The following is a 21,138-nucleotide window of genomic DNA, read 5'->3' on the forward strand; positions in this document are numbered from 1 at the left end:
AATGACTAATGATGTATCTTTTGCACATTTAACCAAATAAGAGATGTGCAAAAGATACGTCACTAGTTTGGTTTAAATCCTTTGCCCATTGTTTAAAATTGGGTTATTTATCTTCTTTTTACTGAGTTGTGTCCTTCATATATTCTGGATACAAGTTTTTGCCAATATTTTCACTCAGTCTGAGGTTGGCCTTTTTCTTTTTCTTCTTCTTTACAATGGCTTTTAAGAGTAGCAGTTTCTAATTATGATGAAGCCAGTCTGTCAATTAGCTAATTTATTTTTCTCTTATGGTCACTGCTTTTTTATTTAGTTAGTTTTATTTATTTTTTGAGATGGAGTTTTGCTCTTGTTGCCTAGGCTGGAGTACAAGAGCGTGATCTCAGCTCGCTGCAACCTCTGCCTCCCAGGTTCAAGCAATTCTCCTGCCTCAGCTTTTGGAGTAGCTGGGATTAAAGGCATGTGACACTATGCCCAGCTAATTTTTGTATTATTAGTAGAGACGGGTTTTACTATGTTGGCCAGGCTGGTCTCAAACTCCTGACCTCAGGTGATCCACCCACCTCAGCCTACCAAGGTGCTGGGATTACAAGCATGAGCCACCACACCCGGCCTGCATTTTTATTTAAGAAATCTTTGGCTAACCCAGAATTACACAGATTTACTCCTATGTTTTCTCTCAGAAGTTTTACAGTTTTAGCCCTTATGTGTCCTTTTTTTGAGACAACAGAATCTCAGTTGCCCAGGCTGGAGTACACTGGTGCAATCCTGGCTCACTGCAACCTCCACCTCCCAGGTTCAAGCAATTCTCGTGCCTCAGCCCCTCAAGTAGCTGGAATTATAGGCACACACCACCACACCTGGCTAATTTTTATATTTTTAGTAGAGAAGGGGTTACACCATGAGACCATGTTGGCAAGGCTGGTCTCGAACTCCTGGCCTCAAGTGATCCACCTGCCTTGGCCGCCCAAAGTGCCGTAATTACAGGTGTGAACCACTGCGCCCAGCCCCTTACATTTCTATGTATGATTCATTAGAGTAAATTTTCGTATATGGTGTACAGTAAGCATTGAAATTCATTTTTTTTTTTTTACATGTGGATATCCAATTGGCCCAGTGCCAGTTACTGAGGAGTCTAGGGTAAATTTTGCCAGCATCTTATGCCACGGTGTGACCTCACAGATGTTATCTCTCTATAAACCAGAGTATCTTTCAAAACAGAAAATGTTACTAAAATACAAATGAAACCAAGATGATTGAATGGGGAAAGCAGGAGTCTTTTCAACAATTGGTTCTCAGACAACTGGATATTCACAGACAAAAGAATGGAGCTGGACCCCTACCTCACACCATATATAAAAATTAACTCAAAATGGATCAAAGACCTAACTTTAAGAGCTAAAACTGTAAAACTCTTAGAATTAAACATAAATGTAAATCTCTGTGACTGTGAATTAGGTCATGGTTTCTTAGCTATGACACCAAAAGCACAAGCAGAAAGCAAAAAGAAAAAACTTAAATTGGATTTCATCAAAATGAAAAACTTTGTACTTCAAGTACATTAAAGAAGTAAAAAGACAACTCACAGACCGAGAGAATATTTTTGATCATATATTGGGTAAGTGACTTGTTCTAGAATATATAAAGAGCTATTACAATTCAATAACTAAAAGATAACCCAATTTAAAAATAGGCAAAGGGGCCAGGCGTAGTGGCTCACACCTGTAATCCCAGCACTATGAAGGCCGAGGCAGGCAGATCCCTTGAGCCCAAGAGTTCAAGACCAGCCTGGGCAACATGGCAAAACCCTGTCCCTATTAAAAAATACAAAAATTAGCCAGGTGTGGTGGCATGTGCCTGTAGTCCCAGCTACTTGGGAGGCTGAGGTGGGAGAATTGCTTGAGCCTGGGAGGTAGAGATTGCAGTGAGCCAAGAATGCACCACCACACTCCAGCCTGTGAGAGAGAGTAAGATTCTGTCTTAAAAAAATAAAAATTGGCAAAACATCTGAATAAACATTTCTCCAAAGAAGGTATACAAATGACCAGTAAGCACATAAGAGAAAAGCAAATCAAAATCACAATGAGATACCAACTCATGGCCAAAGTGTTGATGGGGCTATGGAGAAATCAGAACTCTTGTACACTGCTGATGGAATTATAAAAACAGTGCAGCCACTGTGAAACAGTTTGGCAACTCCCCAATGGTTGGAGAGTTATTATATGACCCAGAAATCCCGCTCCTAGATATATAACCAAGGGAAATGAAAATATGTATGTGCAAAACTTATACACAAATGTTATAAACAGTAATGCTATGAGCATTATTTCAAAAAGCCAAAAAGGGCAAGGCACAGTGGCTCACGCCTGTAATCCCAACACTTTGGGAGGCCAAGGCGGGCAGATCATGAGGTCAGGAGATCAAGACCATCTTGGCCAACATGGTGAAACCCCATCTCTACTAAAAATACAAAAATTAGCCAGGTGTGGTGGCACGCGTCTGTAGTCCCAGCTACTGAGGAGACTGAGGCAGGAGAATCGCTTGAACCCAGGAGGTGCCTATAGTCCCAGCTACTCAGGAAGCTGAGGCAGGCGAATCGCTTGAATCCAGGAGGCAGAGGCTACAGTGAGCCAAGATTGCACCACTGCACTCCAGCCTGGGCGACAGAGCAAGACTCTGTCTCAAAATAATAACAATAATAATAATAATTTTTTAAAAAATCAAATAGCCAAAAAGTAAAAACCACCCAAAAGTCTGTTAGTTGATCATTGGATAAAGAAAATGTGGTACATAAAAGACCATATGTAATTCCATTTGTATGAAATGTCTTGAATAGAGAAGTTTTATAGTTTTAGCACTTACATTTCTATGATTCATTAGAGTAAATTTTTGTATTTGGTGTGCAGTAAGCATTGAAGTTTGTTTTTTTTATCATGTGAATATCCAATTGGCCCAGTGCCAGTTACTGCGGAGTCTAGTGTGAGTTTTGCCAGCATTTTATGCCACGGTGTAACCTCACTGATGTCATCTCTCAATAGACCAGAGTGTCTTTCAAAACAGAAAATGTTACTAAAATACAAATGAAAGCAAGACAGAAAGTAGCCTGGTGGTTGCTTATGGCTGTACTGGGAGGGTGGGTGTTAAGGGGACTAGGGGCAATAGCTAAAGGGTACATTTAGGGGGTGATGAAATGTTGTGGAATTAGAAAGTGGTGATGGTTGCACCACCTTGTGAATATACTAGTACCCATTGAATTATACACTTTAAAGGAATTATGTCTCATATAATTTATATGAATTTATCTCAATTCTTTAAAAGTCACTGAATCGGCCAGACATAATTTTTGGGAAAATATTAGTCAAGATGAGTTAACGTATCTGTGGACACCCAAGGGTAGATTTAAACTCAGGATTCAAGGTTTCCCATTTATTTAAGTGGGAGACATAGCATTCCTCTTTGGTATTGCACTGAAATATAATACAAGGTTGGTTTTCTGTAAAGCTCTGCTAAAAATTCTATTCCCTTTGGACTAGCATCCAGCAGCTATTACAACAGCACAGTGGGTCTCAGGTGTAAAACTGGGGCTGGATATCAAATTGCCAACATTCTTACAGCCATCTTTCTATCATAAACACCAGGAGAGCTCTCAAATGCAGACTCCCCACATATGGCAACCAGCTGAACAAACACCCACTTGAATCACTGCCTCAGCATTTCTAGCTTAAGACGAGCTTTCCTGTGGAAGGCGGGGGCTCCAGAGGGGAAGTGCCAGTGCCTGCCAACCAGTTAGTGTGCTCAGCGAGGTCCCCTCCCAACAGCCACCCCTATATCACCACCTTCCTGACAATATCCATGGAAGCACAGGCATCTCGTTCACTTTCCTTAAGCCAGAAGTCTCAGGGGTGTGCAGGTCCCTAAGGTGCACTAGGGAGAGCCACGGGTCCAAGAATGTCCCACGGGGGCTCAGCCAGGTGCCGTCCTTCTCTTGGCCTCGATTTTAAATGTGACACATCTAAGGAGCTTTCCAGATAAGGCTTGATATTTTTCAATTCACTTTTTTTGTGTGTGTAACTATTTGTCATGGAAAGCATTCGAAAATATACGGTACATACCTCTTCCTCATCAGAGCATGTTTGTCTTAACTCTTTCTTGCCAATTTGGTCATCTTTTATCCACGTCAAATACAGTCATTTATAAAACTCGACTGCTGTTGAGATGTGCTGACCGTAGGCCTAATGATCTCAAGCCCACTCTGTCTTGAGTTGTATTGTATATAACTAACGTACCCCTGTTCACAGCTTTTCCATCTTCTCTCCCCACCTGTACATGTGTGCCAATGAGACCCATCCTTTCTATTTCAAGTTATCAGTGACCGTGACCTTGGCTAAAAGAATGGAGCATTATTAACTTCCACAAAAGAACCTTTGCACACAGTCCCACAAAAGTCCTCCAGAAACATGCACTGAATGCCTGACCTCTTCCTAATGTCAGCGTTTCTACCTTTGACTTTATTTTACAAACTAAAGGGAGTAAGGTACACTTTTTTTACTGAAAGCATCTAATTTAAACCCCTTTTTGCTCACAAGGAGAGGTGAGGAGAGGCCCAGGGAGGCAGAGAGCTGCTCCATCTGCTCCCTTGTGCTTGGAGGCTGAACCTCGGGCCCCACGTTGGAGCTGGCCCAGGCCCCAGCCGTCCCAATGAGTCCCAAGTGCTGCCGCTGAGCCAGCCTGGAAGCTGAGCTGCCACGTTCACAGGCTCTCCCTTACGGTCCTCATGCAGTTGTGATTAATTTGGAAGAGCCTGCGGCTTAAAAATCAACCAACACTTTCCACTTAAATCACTTAGGTATACATTTTCTTATGGAAACTGTTGTGCTGAAGTTAGTAATTGTAAGCTTCCGCCAGGCCCCTCTCAGCCTCTGGCAGGTGCAGCTGGTGCTGCGATGCACCCTTGCCATGCTGGGCCCACATGCACAGGGTGAGGGCCTCCCACACTGGCAAGAGCTCAGCGATGCAGGGGCTGCTTCCTTTAAAAGCTTTGTCATGCCATTGTCCCCACACAACCTCATTCAGCAGAGCTGATCTGGTTCAATCCGGCAAGTCTCTGGAGCAGCAGGAAGGCCCTGTCACTGCAGTTCCAGCCTGCTCCCTTGCCTTGTGTCCTCTGACTAGCTGTCAGGCCAGATGCTTCTCAGGGAAAACGTCCCCTCACTATCCTTCCCTAAGGCCTGGGGAGGCCACAGTGCTTTTTAATCATGGCAGGGCTTGCATGAGACTTAAGCAGCACCCCCAGGCTTCTATATCAGTCGCTGTGAGAGGACAGAAAGGAAAGCACGTCTCTCAGAGACTAGCCCTAGGAGCTCGACATCTCAGGCGGAGCCTACCGTGAAAGTCTCCTGTCACCCCTGACCCTGCAATCTGTTCTCACAAGAGCAGACAAAAAGACATTTTTGTGTGTGTGTGTTTTTGTTTTTGAGATGGAGTTTCACTCTTGTCGCCCAGGCTGGATGGAGTGCAGTGGCACGATCTCGGCTCACTGCAGCCTCCGCCTCCTGGGTTCAAGGGGTTCTCCTGCCTCAGCCTCCCGAGTAGCTGGGATTACAGGCACCCACCACCACGCCCAGCTAATTTTTTTTAGTAGAGACGGGCTTTCACCATGTTTGCCAGGCTGGTCTTGAACTCCTGACCTCAGGTGGTCTGCCCTCCTTGGCCTACCCAAAATGCTGAGATTACAGGCGTGAGCCACCCACCGCACCCAGCCAAAAACACAAGTGTTTGTTTGTTTGTTTGTTTTGAGACGGAGTCTTGCTCTGTCGCCCAGGCTGGAGTGCAGTGGTGCGATCTCAGCTCACTGCAACCTCTGCCTCACAGGTTTAAGCGATTCTTCTGCCTCAGCCTCCTGAGTGGCTGGGACTACTGGCACGTGCCGCCAGGCCCGGCTACTTTTTGTATTTTTACTAGAGACAGGGTTTCACTGTGTTGGCCAGGATGGTCTCAATCTCTTGACCTCGTGATCCACCCACCTCGGCCTCCTAAAGTGCTGGGATTACAGGCATGAGCCACTGCACCTGGCCCAAAAAGACAAGTTTTTAAGAACTGAGAGAACAGGGCCACCATTACTCTTATCAGTTTTGAATATGTATCATCTGTTCAGGTTCCAGTAAGCAAACTGTGTTGTGGTTTGATGATCTAAATTCGCGGGTCGGTTCTGGGATAGCTAGAGGCTACCAGGTCCTGCTGTAACAGAAACAGCAGACGTGTCCAGAATTTTCATAGCGCATGGGGGAAACCAGACTCTCCCAGAACCGCAAGCCTAGAAATCTGTGAGATTCCACTTGATTTCCCTGCTTTTGGGAGGAGGCTTTTGACCATAAAATGCCGTCTCATCATGAAGCTGACTTTCACCAAGGTAGGCCCTTTCCCTTACTGCAGTGGGAGCCGCACCACCACTGGGCACAGTGAGGATACCAGGGTGGGCTCCTGCCCATGCCCAGGACGGTGTGTGGGCTGGACACCACTGGGGTGAGTCCTGAGGACGGACAGGCGAGGGGCGTCCAGGCTCGGCCACAGCCCTCACGGAGCCTCAGCTCAAAGGGCTTTTCAGGTCAGATGCTAAAACCGTGAGAAAACAGCTGCTTTCCAGCAAAGAGCCTGACGCATCCGCTTGGGGAATCCTCTGACCAGTCCTCTCCAGACCGTCTGGGTTGTGACAGACAAGGGCAGACCAAGGAGCCATCCCAGATGGAAAGGGTGTGGGGAAACCTGTGAAATGAGAATACAGCTGTAGGGAGGTTATGTACAATGTTCATGATGGGGAAGCAGCAGTCATGGGAGCCTGGAGGCTGTGGAGAGACCTACAGTGGGGCGGACGTGTGTGACAGCAAGGGCAAGAGGGGCGGTTGGCACCCATGGATGCTGCGCAAACACTCGGACCCTGATTTTCGCCAGACACCTGGAACGGTGCCCCGTGCCCCTCCCATGGCCCCTTTCTCCCCACCAGTGGATCTGTCTACCCGTTTCTTCTCCCCATGCAGGAAAAGTACCCAGATGCCGTGTACCTCTCGGAGGGGCCCTCCTCCTGCTCCATGGGGATCCGCAGCGCCAGCCGGCCAGGGTGAGCCTGCACAGGCCATGGGGCCTCCCATTTCCTGTTCAAACAAGGATTCCAAGTAGGAGACCACCTAAGTAGGATTCTAAGTAGTAAACTACCTAACCAAGAACTAAAGGTCGTCGGTTGGAGGAATCAGTGGTCCCAGCAGATATGCCCAGTATGGGGGTGCGGGGAGCTGGAGCTCTGGAGGATGTGCTGGGCCGCAGGGGGAAAACGCCAGTCCTGGGGCCCACCCCAGGACTTATGGGGTCAAGGAAGGGAGGCTGGGAGAAAGTGGAGATGCTTGTGGATCTGCTGTTACTTCAGAAATCGAAGGGAGGAAGCCAGGGGTGAGTGGAAAACCCCAAAGCAATGAGAAGAAACAGGACAGGCTTAGTGCCCTGATAGCACAGCTGATCCCTCCACCAGCCCCGGCGCCACCCTGGCCCGTGCCGTGTTCTCCATCCTCTTCCCTTGGCTGTGCATGTGTGGACATGTATCCATCTGGGTGTGCTTTTATGACCTGTGTGTGAATGCCTCAACTCAACTGGTTTCCAAGCTTTAAAATCATGTGGTCCTTATGCAGGCTTCTGGGACTTGCCTTTGTCACCGTTCACCTCCTCCAGGGTCATGAGCAGCTGCAGTGCAGTTTCACTGCTCATCCTCCCGGAGGGGATCATACACAGCGTCTTGCTGCGCTCTTCAGCTCTGGAGCACGTGGCTTCTTTGTTCTGGCTCACACCTCCTGGCACACAGTACATAAGCTTCTCCTGGGCTCAACTGCCTAGAAATGAAATTCCTGTGTCATGCATGGATGCATGTTCAGCTTACTGTCAGTGCCAGATTATTTCCAAAGTGGCTTGTCCATGTCTGCTCCCACCAGTAATTTTGAAGTTTCTGTTGCTCCATGTTCTGTACTTCGCTGGTATTGGCCTACTAATGTTTGCCAATGCAGTGGGGACAGAGCAGCACCTTCCTGTGATCCTGGTTCCATTTGCCTGTGCTACTGACTGTGCCTCTTCTTGGCTGTGGATTGGGGTTTCTAGCAGGGGAGCCCAGCATGGGGAAATGGAGACCAGGTGCGACTCATGGTTGCTAATCTTTTCGCCAGATTTCAAAAAGCACATAACGACATGTTTTACTGCTTTTTCAGGTTTGAATTAGTCATTGTTTGGAGGATACAAATAGATGAAGATGGGAAGGTTTTTCCAAAGCTGGATCTTCTCACCAAAGTCCCACAGCGAGGTAGGGCCCTGGGTGTGGCTGCTCTAGGTGACTTCTCAACATGCCCAGCAAAGCCGCCTGCCTGTTTCCTCTGGGTTTCAAAGGGCAAGAATCAAAAATTGGAAATCTCATTAATGTACTTTGTCTATCAATTTTTAAATATTTTTATCAATAATCACTCAAAAAGAACATGAAAAGGGATTGCTGCCCCAAGGCCCTCCCAGGCTGAATGCACAGGGAATATGCCTCCAGCCGTAGGTGAGGCCTCCACTCACTCCATCTCCTCGCCCGCCACTAGCATGTCCCATCCCATGCAGCTAGTCGGGAGGAGTGCGGGGTCTTGGTGAGGTCCATGCCAGCAGAAAACAAAAGACCAAAAGCTGCCACCTTGAAGTTTCTTACCCGGTTTAATGTTTTCTTTATAGCCCTGGAGCTGGACAAGAACAGAGCCATAGAAACTGCTCCTCTCAGCTTCCGAACCCTGGTAGGACTGCTTGGAATCGAAGCTGCTCTGGAAAGCCTGATAAAATCGCTTTGTGCAGAGGAGAACAACTAGTTCCAAAACAGTGAACGTGGAGGATGAAGATGCTGCGTGGAGGAACATGCAATTTTATTCAATATAAACATTTGCTATTTTCTGCTTAGAAACCACACCCTGAAGACGTGCTGTCTATGCAGTTATGGCACATTATATGGAAACTCTCATGACATGAAAAATAAATACAACTAGTTAAGTATAAAATGCCAAATAAAAGTGACACGTACAATGTGGTTTATAAAAATAAGCTTAACATCTGAGAAAATGTACCAAGTGGTTGTGTGTCCTCAGATGTGTGGGGAGGATCCATCCCCCACCCACTGCAGCCTCACACCGAGTCCACCTTGGACATGGTGGCCACATTACTCAGCTGGGAGAAGCCACCCTTATCCTGGTTCCTGCCTCCTGGGGGCTCTGGAGACGGATGCCTATGGCGCCTCATCTTTAAACTGTCCTTAGTAGCCCAGGGGAGCCACACCCTCACTCCCTGCCTCCCCCCGGTCCGCATGGTGGCACCGTGAGGCAGTCTCAGCAAGTCCTCATGCTGTTCTTGGTCTTCCACAAGAAAGTGAAGCTGTCAGCTTAATAACAAGAATGGCCTAAGACAGCAAAGACAGCACTGTTCCTGGGCTGGGACGCAAGGAATGAGGTCCTTTATGAAAGAAAGACCCCCCTGCATAGCCTAAGTGCTATATCGATCGTCCCGGATGTGCCTTAAGAACCGTGACCTCATCAGTCGCCCATTTAGCATTGTTAAGATCTGTGAACGCGTGTTGTCTCAAACCAGTCAGGGCCGTCATGACTACGCAGCAGCAGCAGTTTCCAAGACGGGCCAGAAACGCATCCACAGCAGTGGCACCCGCGGCTCAGGGGCTCCTCACAGCCCGGGCTGGTGGGAGCCAAGACCAGACAGAGTGGGGGTCTCCATCTGTTTTCTCTTCTCCCTCAAATACAGGCTGTTTTCATCGTGTCTAGTCCAGCCCTGTCTGGGCCCTGTGCTAGGCAATAACTCTTGCAGCCCTGAAGGACCTAGGGAGCCCAGCCCACCTTCCCACGGACTGGGGTTCCCTCACATGTGCACTTGAACCCAGGACCCAGCATCCTCCACACACCGTGACAATGGGCAAAATCATCCCAAACCAGGCTGCCCCAGCCCCAGCCCAGCAACAGTGAACTCCCTTGGGTCAAGACAGTACTCAACGGCCACTACCTCCACGCTTCCCAGAGCCTGCGGCTTGTCCGTGAGCTCCGTGCACTTCACCAAAGCCCCCATCCCAGCACACAGGACCCGTGTGTATGAGACGGTGTCATTGGAAGTGAGAAGAAAACAGTAAAAGTGTCCAGTTAGATAAGTATCTTTTTGCACCTCTGAGAGTAGAATTAGAAGTAAATATGACAGAATTGAACAATAAATTCTAGAAGAGTTGCCTTGATTCAAACAAGTATAATTCTCAAGTTATCACAAAATTTCCCACAAAAATTTACAATCAGCAAAATAGTTTCCTTATTTCTCATGTATCATTTTCATATAATTCCATGGTTTCACTAATATTATATGTTACAATAAGCCTCCATTAGTCCCTCAAAACGATGATATAAATAAGTCTGTACAACCTAGCATAGAATAAAAAACTGAAACCAAGATTCCCAACGTTTTTCATAGCAGCCGGGCACACTTTGGTGACCCCAACGAGAACCCTCTCGGCAGCAGCCAGGAGCTGTTCACCTTCCAGAAGCAGGGCCTGTGGCAGCCTAACAGGGAGAGGCCACGGGGCCCAAAAACGCAACACGTCTCAAGGCAAACCCGAGGGAGGAACTTGGTCTGGGAGGAAGAGAGAACTCGCTCCTCAACCACCCCAGACACTGGAGTGTCAGGAAAGCACTGAGCTGTTGGGGCACACTGCCCAGCCCGGCCACAGCAGCTCAGCCAGTCACAGCTCCACCTCCAACTTCTACAGCAGCAATTTTTAGTGGGAAAGAACAGCTCATCTCCCCCTCATGTGAAAGATTAAATTGTAAAGCAAAAAAAAAAAGGTCAATGCTCGCATGAGTGGTGTCCATCCTGACCTGAGCCTTGCGCTCCCTGCTGCCCTGTGTGGAACTGTGGGCTTCAGCACCTCCACAGGGACCCTGAGTCTACACTGCTCAGAATCGGCATCTGCGCGACCACGAGGTCACGCTGTGCAGCAGGGAACCACCTAAAAACCTGTGTTGATATGTGGCTTGCACTGAAAAAGTGACCATGTAACTCAGCTGGGGGAAGTTCCAGTAGTATCCATGTTTTCTTAAAAGTCCAAACTGTAAAATGTATGTGACAATTCAAGTTTTCTATGTTAGGAGTCTGGTGGTAGCAGATCCAAACCTTGGGTCTTAGAATAAGGCTTTTCGCATTAGAGAATCAGACATGAGCCCTGGTTGGGAAAGAAGAACTATCCAGAACGTCTTCCCAGGGCTTAACGGACACTTCCATTTTAAGAGTGTGAGCAGCTTCCTGGGACACAGCACTCACTTCCTACATTCCTTGTCCAGGAAGTTGTTTCTAGTGCTCTTCAATTCCATGTCTCCAAGAGGCAATCCCACCTCAAAAGGGGTTAAAAGCAAAAACATTCACAACCAAAGGTCACCCAACACAACAGAAAATATCTCTATCATTCAGCCTTCACATTATGTTCAAGTTTCAAAGACACTGCAGGGAAAGAGTTAGACCTTGTGGAGAACTAATGTGCAATCTTCGCTTTCCTTGAACCGAGTCGACATCACGGCGTTGTCTTTGGCACGTACAGTCTTTGAATAATAGTTGACGATCTTGCCGTCCAGTTTATACTGATGGGGAATGCTCTCGTAGGGCTTGAGGTCAAGGTCCAGCACAGACACGGAAAAGGCAAACCTGGACCTCGATGAAGGGACGACAGGCCTTTGATCAGAGCTGCAAGTAAAAAGTACCATTTCAGGATACACAAGCCCCCCATTCATTTCCCTCCCTCCCGTTCTCTCTCCCTTTCTTCTTTCAACTAGTATGTTTTTATGTTTTTTCTTTGACTTCTGCAAAGTTAGATAAATCAATCTCTTTTAAAAGAGAAGTGAATGGCCTCACACCCCAGCTCACAAAGAGCACTCGTTCTGTGCACCTGTGATCTGTGCGTGTGACAGCTGTCTGTGCCGGCTGTGTGCACCAGCGTGCAAAGCTTCCTCAGGCCAGTGCACCCCACCATACCAGGCGAGAGAGGGTTAAAGGACTGAAAGATGGAAAAGTAATTATGTGGAACATGTGAGCGATGTTCCCCCAGCCCAGTGGTATAAACGAACGCTGAAAAATCACTTTATCATGAGCCAAGTATTACAAAACCCAACAAAAAGTAAAAAGTAGATCTGGCCATTCCAGCGCCAAATGGATGGAATGTCGACAAGCCTTCTTCTTTGCCTCTCCTGTCTGCTGAGAAACGCAAGCTCCTTTGGTTCACATTTGAAGAGATCTGGTTTCTCATTTTATTCTCAAATTTTATCTTCAGTCCTTTGTATTTTGCTTCTCAGGGCTTAGTTTTGTGGTTTTAACCTCAGAAGTCGTGTGCTTATAACAAGATGTGATTAATTATTTGCCCTGAAAAACACATTTAGGATTACTCCGAGTCCTGAGCTCTGACTGCTGTGTGTCCCGCTTTTCGTCTCCGGGCACTCAGCGCACAGCACTCAAGACACTGGCTAAACAAGTGACCTAAGCTCAGTTCAGTCCAAGAGAAGTATCCTGGGTTCTGGTGTCCCAATGTTTACTACGCTTTGAGATTTAGAAATCAACAAGCCAAACCCCAACTTCAAAAGCTCCTGCCGAGGAGAGGAAATACTGATCAGCACGTCCCTGCTCTGACGCTGCTCACCATGGCCTTGGCGCTCACTGCTGCCCTGCCCCAGAATCCTGTTTGTAGAAAAAACAAATCCCTGACTAAGCTGCTGGGGTAAGTAACTATTCTCATCTGAAGAGTAAACAGCAAATAACTCATTTACAAATTAAGGTCATGAGTCTCGCTCCAGAAGCTGGAGTGTGCCTGCAGCTCATCCCAAGGGGCCACATTTTATTGGGAGAACCTCAGAAGCCCAAGGTACTGCTCAGTTCTGAGGCCTGAGACCCAAGCTGGGTGCACCTGGGCTGGAACAGTCACATCCCCAGCCCATGACTAGGGTTACGTATTTTAAAGGACACCCCAATTTCTCAGAAGCAGCACCTGACAAGACCATGGGTGTAAAGACAGGAAGGATGTTCCAGGCAGCTCCCGGGGAGGGTCTGACTACCTGGGTCAACCACAAGCTAGCTCCATGGGAACCAATGGCAGTGACCAGCGGGCACCAGCTCCTGACACAGAAATGCTCTTCTTCCCCCTCAGTACCCCGGAGGCCAAGACTGGGCAAGAGGCCCCAGGGACACACCTGTCCCTTGTGCCACAAGTGTGCCCTCTAGCAGCCTTGGAGAATGAGGCTCAGGTGGCCTTCTGGCTGCAGGGGGGCAGCCCTTGCCTGGAAGGCCGTTCTCCAGGACACTGACCCGCTGGGGGTTACCGGGGGACCAGCAGCCTCCAAGGGTGCTGGGGATCGGGGTGGAGAAGCCAAGGCCGCACACTGTGTTTCAAATGGGAGGTCGAGAGGAGCATCAGGGTTTAGGCCGGGAAGCTGTGGCAGCTCTCTCCACAGTTCCAAATTCCCAAAGGGACAAAGCTCTGCAGCGACAGGAAGGCAGATCCAACTTGAGACATTTTCCTTTATGACAGGGCAGAAACAGTAGTGCAGAGCTGGAGAAGCCTTTATTTTAGGGGGTGTAAGAAGTTTAAATGTGGTCAATCTATCTGTGAGCTGCAAATTAGTCTAGGGATCTAAATTTAGTCTCAGGTCTACCAGGTATCTCAAGACGCCAAGATGACTCATGATAAATCCCAGCCTTAGTTTGTCCCTAGGCCTCTAGAGCACCACAGTTACTGGAACTTCACAGGTGCGGCCACTGCGCACACCTTCCTGGAAGCAGGCCCAGCCCCACACGCCATGTTCTCGGAGGAGAAGCCTTCTCTGAGATCCTCTCCTTTTGTTGAGAAAGGCCTGGCTAGAGTGCTTTGTGCAGGATGGTTCCAGTGCCTACACCCTAGGTCTGAGAAGCCACATGGCTCAGTGCCTTCAGGACATGCCCTCCCCTCCCCTCCTAGTGTCGTTTCTGCTGAGCAGCTGGTCGTAAGGACCCGGGCCTTCAGCTTTCCCCGCATGCTGGCTTTCCAATTTGACATCACTGACCAGGCACTAAGAGATTCCCAGGTGCTAGACGAGGTGAGTAACATGTCTGTCCTTCAGCGGCCTTTCACAGCCCACCTAAGGGCACCCTGCATCCAAGCACATTTCCATTGCCCAGCTGCATCCTTGGTCGGGGGGCTGCTGAACAGTGGTATCTTCGTGGGTTTTCTCTCATCGAACACCACCAGCTTAATCCAGTTAAGGAATTCCTCATAACTTAGCCCTGTAGGTATTTCCTTAGGGGATAACAGGAGTTTTCAACTAAATAGAACAACCTTTTTTCTACTTCAGTTAGCCCTATAATGTTCCTCAGTATTTCATATTGGAAAGTAAACAATTCTGTGCCTGCCAGGGAACAGGAATCCTGGGAACTGTTTAGTTCAAAAGCACCGGGAAAGTGAGTGGCTGGCAGCCAGCAACCAAGGTCATCTTGACCCAGGAACACATGTTAGAAGAATGTGGAACATTCCGCAAATACTGGGTGCAGGGTTTAGCACCCCTGAAGATCGGTGATGGAGATGCTGTCTAACGACTATGAGATTATCAGTTTCATCCCGAATTCCCAGAAACAGAGGGGACTGGACAAAACTAGTGACATTAGGGAGAGGGGCGGCACATAGGCTGGTTATTCAGAAGAGGAAGCAGAATGAATGCGCGCCTCACAGGCTTTCAAATGACTGTGGTGGTAAAAAGGCAGGTGCGCCATGCTGCCACTGTGGGAGACCGAGGAACAAGGGCCACAGGTACCCACACATCTCAGGGGCTGGCTTTCTTTGAGGGAATGCAATGGGCAGCTCACTGTCCACATTGTTTCTGAGCTCTTGGGAGTATTTTCTTAGAAAACAGTAACTTTCAATGTACTAACAATCCTTTTAAGTTATTCTCCATAAATCTGTCTTTTGACTGAATTACAAGCTTCTAGAGGGCGAGAGTTAGTAAGCCCCATGATGTCACATAGGCCAAGGAAGTTATGTCACTCCGCCATGGAGTCTCTAAATATGGGGAAACCAACTATCCTATTAACAATTCACCAACTGTCCATAAAACCCCGTTAGACCCAGGCTGCATGCCTTGCAGTGGGGGCCTCACCTGGCATCCTGCAGACAGGGAGACAGTGCAATCATGATGGAGCAGTCCTTGGCAGTCATGGCGACGCGGTACTGCTGCACCTGCAGGGGCGGGAAAGATCAGCTCCAGGTCACACAGGAAGCCTCTGCCCCCCCACACAACCTTCCTTCCCAGTAGCCAAGTGTGGGAACTGCTTCCTGCCTCAGAACCTGAGGGTGGGATTAGGAGCGAGGGCCACGGTGAGCACGGGCGTCAGGAGGTCGCCCTGTGAGAGCACCTGGGCCAGCCCTCAGTGCCACGGGGCTGCTCAGAGGCCAGCACCGCCCCCTGACCTCTCACGGCAAGCAGTGTGGGACCCCGACTCCAGACCCTGAGACGGATGATCTGTCTTCAGCAAGGTCACCACAGTCGGCCTTTGGAAGGAAAAGCAGTAAGCCACCTGAGCCCCGCATGTTGGCCACACTCAGAGTATCAAGTGAGTATCACTCGACACCTGCAAGGAGAGCGCAGGGGGTGTTCAGCAAGGCATCGCTTAGAACGACATTCCCTCCGGAACATCATACAGCCACCAGAGACAACGGCAGACGGCCACCCTTCTACAGGCTGTGCATGTGTTAACTTGCTCCACCCTCACAGCAGCCCAACAGGGCAGCACGGCCGGCGTCCCACTTTACAGACAAGCAACAGACACAGACATCACTTGTCTGTCATGCCCTGCTTGTCAATGGCAAGGCAGGGACTCAAACCCGGTACGCTGGCTCTGACATTTACACTCTTCAACACATGCTCCAAGCTATGTGGGTCTGTCCATACTGACCAGGGACAGCTCAACACACACCACACTGTCAGAGTCGACATACGTAAAGCTGTACATGTGCACATGTGTGTGACGCGGGCAGGGAGAAAGGTGAAGGACAGGCACCACAATGCTCACAACTGTCTCCTCTACAGAGCAGAATGTGAGGCACTCTCTCCTCTTCCTTCTTTGGACTTTCATATATGGTTTGCATTGTTTTAGATGGCATAGCTCTCGCTTTCACAAAAATAAACAGTTGTAAAAGAAAAGGAATTGGGCCTCACACATCACTGGCCTCAATATTTGTACTGATGACAGACCATCATCTCCTGTCTCCCTTTTAACCACTCCCCTCAATTGCATATAACCTGGAGGATCTGGCGTTCGAAAACATCCAAGCTGCACTTTCCAAAGGGCAGGACTGGATGGGAGGGAGTGGGGAGAACCTCAAAGCACGGATTTAGCTCAGGCCCACACACTATTCTTGGGGCCTGAGAAAACCTTTCACAGCAGATGGAAATGAGCAGCTCCTATCCTTACACTCTATTCAGTTAGCTAGAGTACAAATGGATCAAAAGTTGATTCTTAGGAAACTAAACTCTTGGTGGGAATGATTAAGGGAGTGTCCTAGCCCCTTCAGGCTGCTATCACGAAATGCCCAAAACTGGTAGCTTATAAACAACAGAAACTTGTTTCTCACAGTTCTAGAGGCTGGGATGTCCAAGACCAGGGCGCCAGCAGATCTGCTATCTGGCGAGAGCCGACTTCCTTATCCACAGCCCTCTTTTCACTGTCACTTCACATGGTGAAAGGGGCTGGCTTGCGCTCTGGGGTTTCTTGTATAAGGGCCTGAATTCAAATCATGAGGGCTCTACCCTCATGACCTAATCACCTCCCAGAGGCCCCACCTCCTAACACCATCACCTTGGGAGTTGGGATTTCAACATATAAATTTGGGGGGGTGGGAGGGTAAAACATTCAGACAGTAGCAGAGAGGGAGAGAAATCAAATATCAGACATCTGGAATAAAAGAGCATACTTCAAATCCTATAAACATGAAAAGATAATAAAAGAACATTACCCAACAACATCATATGCCAAAATTCTGAAAACATAGATAAAACAAAAAATTTCTAGAAAAATACAACTTACTAAAATTTGAAACTTTCCTACAAAGACAACTATGGGGCCTAGCTGATTTCACAGCTGATTCTACAAAGCATTTAAGTCAGAAATAATACCATTCCTTTTTTTTTTTTTTTTTTTTTTTTGAGACAGGGTCTCGTTCTGTTGCCCAGGCTGGAGCACAGTGGTACCATCACAGCTCACTTACAGCCTCGACCTGCAGGGCTCAAGTAATCCTTCCATCTCAGTCTCTCAGGCAGGTAAGACTACAGGTATGCACCACCATACTCGGCTGATTTTTAATTACTTTTATTAGAGACGAGGTCTCGCTATGTTGCCCAGGCTGGTCTTGAACTCCTGAGCTCAAGTGATCCTCCCACCTTGGCCTCCCAAAGTGTTGGGATTACAGGTGTGAGCCACTGAACCCAGCCGTTGTTAATCCACCTCTTCCAGGCAACAGAGAAAGAGTAAACAGACCATCTTTTAAGTGTTTTACGGGCAGGTCTAGGCCTCGACACCAAGGCTGAACACAGACATTACAAAAAGAGAAAGCACAGTTCTTATCACTCATAAACATCTGCCAAAATCCCTAAACAAAATATTAGCAAACCCAATTATCATCATACAGAAAAAGAACACATCACAACAAATTGCATAATTAACCACGTTAACAGAAAATATTTTGGTCATATGATCATCTCAATAGAAATAGAAAAGGCATTGATAAAGTTCAACATCTGCTCCTGATTTTAAAAAATCCTCTTAATAAATCAGGAAAAGAAGGGAACAAACTTCTTTAATCTGATGTCAGCCACTTAAGGAAAAAAAAACCTACATTAAACAATTTACTTGATGGTAAAATGCTTTTGAGATTTGGAACAGGACTAAAATTCATACTATCACAAATTAACTACATAAAGTGAAGTAAAATAAAGAAGTGAAAGGTATAAGGATTGGGAAGGAAAGGGAAAACATCAAATTCACAGACTACGATTACATATAAAGAAAATCCAAAAGAAACTATAATCGTTAGGATTAATACAAGTGAGCAAAGTTGATGTATGCAAAGTCAAAATAGAAAAACCAATCACATTACTGCATAATCAAACACTTTTAAAGTAAGATCTTTTTAAAGATGCCATTTACATCTAAAACCATCAAATATCGTGAAATTAATATAAGACCTCTCTGAAGAGAACCATAAAACATTTTTATCAGAATAATATATATATATATAAAAGTTTAAATGTCCATGTTGGAAGACTCAGTATTGTATAGATTTCAACACTCATCATTTTAACGCTACACCATGAAAATCCCAGTGGCTTTTTTTTTAGTTTTTAATTTTTGTGGGATAGCAGTTTTGTTTGTGCTTTTCCTGCAGAACTGAGTGAGGTGATTCTCAAATTCATGTAGATATGCAAAAGGTCGAGAACAGCCAAGATATGCTTGAAGAAGACAGAAGGATTTGTCAGATATCAAAGCTTGTTATGACTCTGTAGTGTTCACAATTTCTGTGACGACAGGATAATTCCATTTGAAAAGAAAATAAAACCCCACCTCCTGCCATTTCAAAAATCAGTTTCAGACAGTCACCCAACAAAATGTGAAAGACAAAACAATAAATTTTCTAAAGATATGGCAGGAAAATATCTTCAGGACCTTAAGGCAAAGAAAGACTTCTTAAAAGGGAAAAAGACTGGTAAATTAGGCTACCTTAACATTATGAACCGTTCTTATAAGGACTCCATTAAGAATCAAAAGACGGGCCAGGCACAATGACTCACACCTGTAATCGCAGCACTTTGGGAGGCCGAGGCAAGCGGATCACAAGGTCAGGAGATCGAGACCATCCTGGCTAACATGGTGAAACCCCGTCTCTACTAAAAATACAAAAAATTAGCCAGGCATGGTGGCGGGTGCCTGTAATCCCAGCTACTCGGGAGGCTGAGGCAGGAGAATGGTGTGAACCCGGGAGACGGAGCTTGCAGTGAGCCAAGATCGCGCCACTGCACTCCAGCCTGGGCGACAGAGCGAGACTCCGTCTCAAAAAAAAAAAAAAAAGTCAAAAGACAAACTACATAGGCTACATAGTGGGAAAAGATACCTACTGGACACAAAATTGACAAAGGGCTTCTATCCAGAATATACAAAGAATGCCTTCAAATCAATAAGAAAAAGACAACTCTACCAAAAAAAATGAGCAAGAGACTTAAATTGTGACTTAAATAGATCACAAAAGGAAAAATCCAGTAAACATATGAGAAGGTACTTAATCTCATCACAAGATACCACTACACACACACCAGAATGGGTGAAATTCAGAAGACCCACAACTAAGTGTAAGAGATGGTGTGGAGCACAGGTGACTCCTAACCGGTTGCAGGGAACATAATCAGGTAAAACTGTTTTACAGTAGCTACTGAAACTAAGTATACTCATCCCTGTGGCCCAGAAATCCCACTCCTAGGGATATATCCAAGAGAAATGTGTGCACATGTACACAAAATCTGTACAAGAATATTCATAACCGCCAAAAACTAGGAACAACCCAAATGTTCATAAAACAGCAGAACAGATAAATTGTAGTACACTAAGTCCTCACTTAATGTTGTCACTGGGTTCTTGGGAAACTGTGACTTGAAGCCAAACAATGTATAACAAAACTAGGCCAGGCACAGTGGCTCACGCCTGTAATCCCAACACTTTGGGACACCAGGTGGGAGGACTGCTTGAGCCCAGGAGATCGAGACCAGCCTGAGCAACATAATAAGACTGCATCTCTACAAAACATTTAAGAAATTAGCCAGGCATGCCAGGCACAGTGGTTCACACCTGTAATCCAGCACTTTGGGAGGCTCAGGTGGGTGGATCACGAGGTCAGGAGTTCCAGACCAGCCTGGCCAACATGGTGAAACCCCATCTCTACTAAAAAATACAAAAATTAGCAGGTGCCTGTAATCCTAGCTACTCAGGAGGCTGAGTATTACTTGAACCCGGGAGGCGGAGGTTGCAGTGAGCCAAGATCGCACCACTGCACTCCAGCCTGGGTGACAGAGCAAGACTCCATCTCCAAAAAAAAAAAAGGAAGAAATTAGCCAGGTGTGGTGACACATGCCTGTGCTTCCCAGCTACCTGTGAGGCTGAGGTGGGAGGATCACCTACCTGAGCTCAGGAGGTCAAGGCTGCAGTGAGCCATGATCGTGCCAGTGCACTCCAGCCTGGACGATGAAATGAAACTCTGTCTCAAAAAAACAAAAATAAAAACAAAGCCATTTCTTTTCTCATCGTTATGATAAAACAACATTGAACAAAATGATGTTATTTGAGGACCTGCTGTATAGGTCACTTCACTTAAAGTCACAGTTTCCACGAACCTGTCAAGGATGCTGAGAAAGGACTTACTATATATCCATTCATGGATCACTCTAAAGTAAATAGAAATGTGGCAATAAAGTAAATAGAAATGTGGCAATGGGTGCACTAGCAAAGGTGAATCTCATAAATATTACACAGAGCTAAAAAAAAAAAACAAACAGGAGACATGAATATATACAGCATGATCTCGTAAGTCAAGTTCAAAAACAGGACAGACTAAACTACAGGGATGTAAGTCAGTACAACAGTTAACCCTGGGAGGAAGGAGAAAGGTCTGGTTGGATGGGACAACAGGAATTCTGATTGCTGCCAGTGTTCCATGTCCAAATATAAGTGGTGGTTCCATAAGAATTTTTACTTTGTGACAAGTCAGTGGGTTGTATATTTTTTTCTGTGTACCTTTCTGTATTTGCTAGTATTTCACAATGATTAATGAAGCAAAAGTTTAGAAAATTAAAATAAAACATTTAAATATTAGTAATATCTAGTGTTCGCAAGGACATGGGGAAACTGTCTTCAACTGTTGCAAGAAGAAATATAATTAGTAAAATCTTTTGGGGAGGACAATGTGACAGGATCTATCAAAAATAAACCCTGCAATTTTACATCTAAAAATCTGTCTTACAGAAATGCTATGTTAAGTGCACAACGGTAGAT

General features: G+C 46.5%; 2 protein-coding genes and 1 long non-coding RNA gene across 7 annotated transcripts in view, besides 1 other annotated feature; 2 read left to right on the plus strand and 1 right to left on the minus strand.

Moving 5' to 3' along the window:
• CENPP (centromere protein P) overlaps positions 1–16,247 on the plus strand; it is a 295,062-nt gene extending 278,815 nt beyond the window's left edge. For 2 of the 4 annotated variants that reach the window (NM_001286969.1, NM_001286971.1), the window contains 3 exons: positions 7,032–7,111; positions 8,241–8,332; positions 8,737–10,882. In NM_001286969.1, the coding sequence (NP_001273898.1) occupies positions 7,032–7,111; positions 8,241–8,332; positions 8,737–8,867 (303 nt within the window). In that variant the 3' untranslated portion in view covers positions 8,868–10,882. Of the gene's footprint in view, positions 1–7,031; positions 7,112–8,240; positions 8,333–8,736 lie in introns of all 4 variants that reach the window. The other 2 variants (NM_001012267.3, XM_024447543.2) reach the window with 1 other exon arrangement.
• The window catches only part of IPPK (inositol-pentakisphosphate 2-kinase), a 56,949-nt gene continuing 44,711 nt past the window's right edge, over positions 8,901–21,138 (minus strand). Inside the window, exons 12-14 of one of the 2 annotated variants that reach the window (XM_017015041.2) lie at positions 20,269–20,344; positions 15,204–15,283; positions 8,901–11,775 (exon numbers count right to left, since the gene is read on the minus strand). In XM_017015041.2, coding sequence (XP_016870530.1) covers positions 11,770–11,775; positions 15,204–15,283; positions 20,269–20,344 — 162 coding nt within the window. In that variant the 3' untranslated portion in view covers positions 8,901–11,769. The remainder of the gene's footprint in view (positions 11,776–15,203; positions 15,284–20,268; positions 20,345–21,138) is intronic. The other variant, NM_022755.6, reaches the window with a different exon arrangement.
• LOC100128361 (uncharacterized) lies at positions 13,768–16,251 on the plus strand. The gene has a single exon (NR_036505.1). It is a non-coding gene; the product is annotated as an uncharacterized LOC100128361 (long non-coding RNA).
• Positions 16,499–16,769: a silencer, noted in NCBI's record as "fragment chr9:95383063-95383333 (GRCh37/hg19 assembly coordinates)". NCBI's record gives its function as "represses an EF-1alpha promoter that drives an FKBP-Casp9 reporter gene in an ReSE screen in HepG2 liver carcinoma cells {active_cell/tissue: HepG2}" and the evidence as "EXISTENCE:reporter gene assay evidence [ECO:0000049][PMID:32094911]".

This window comes from Homo sapiens, chromosome 9 (genome assembly GCF_000001405.40).
Source record: "Homo sapiens chromosome 9, GRCh38.p14 Primary Assembly".
Lineage (NCBI taxonomy): Eukaryota > Metazoa > Chordata > Mammalia > Primates > Hominidae > Homo > Homo sapiens.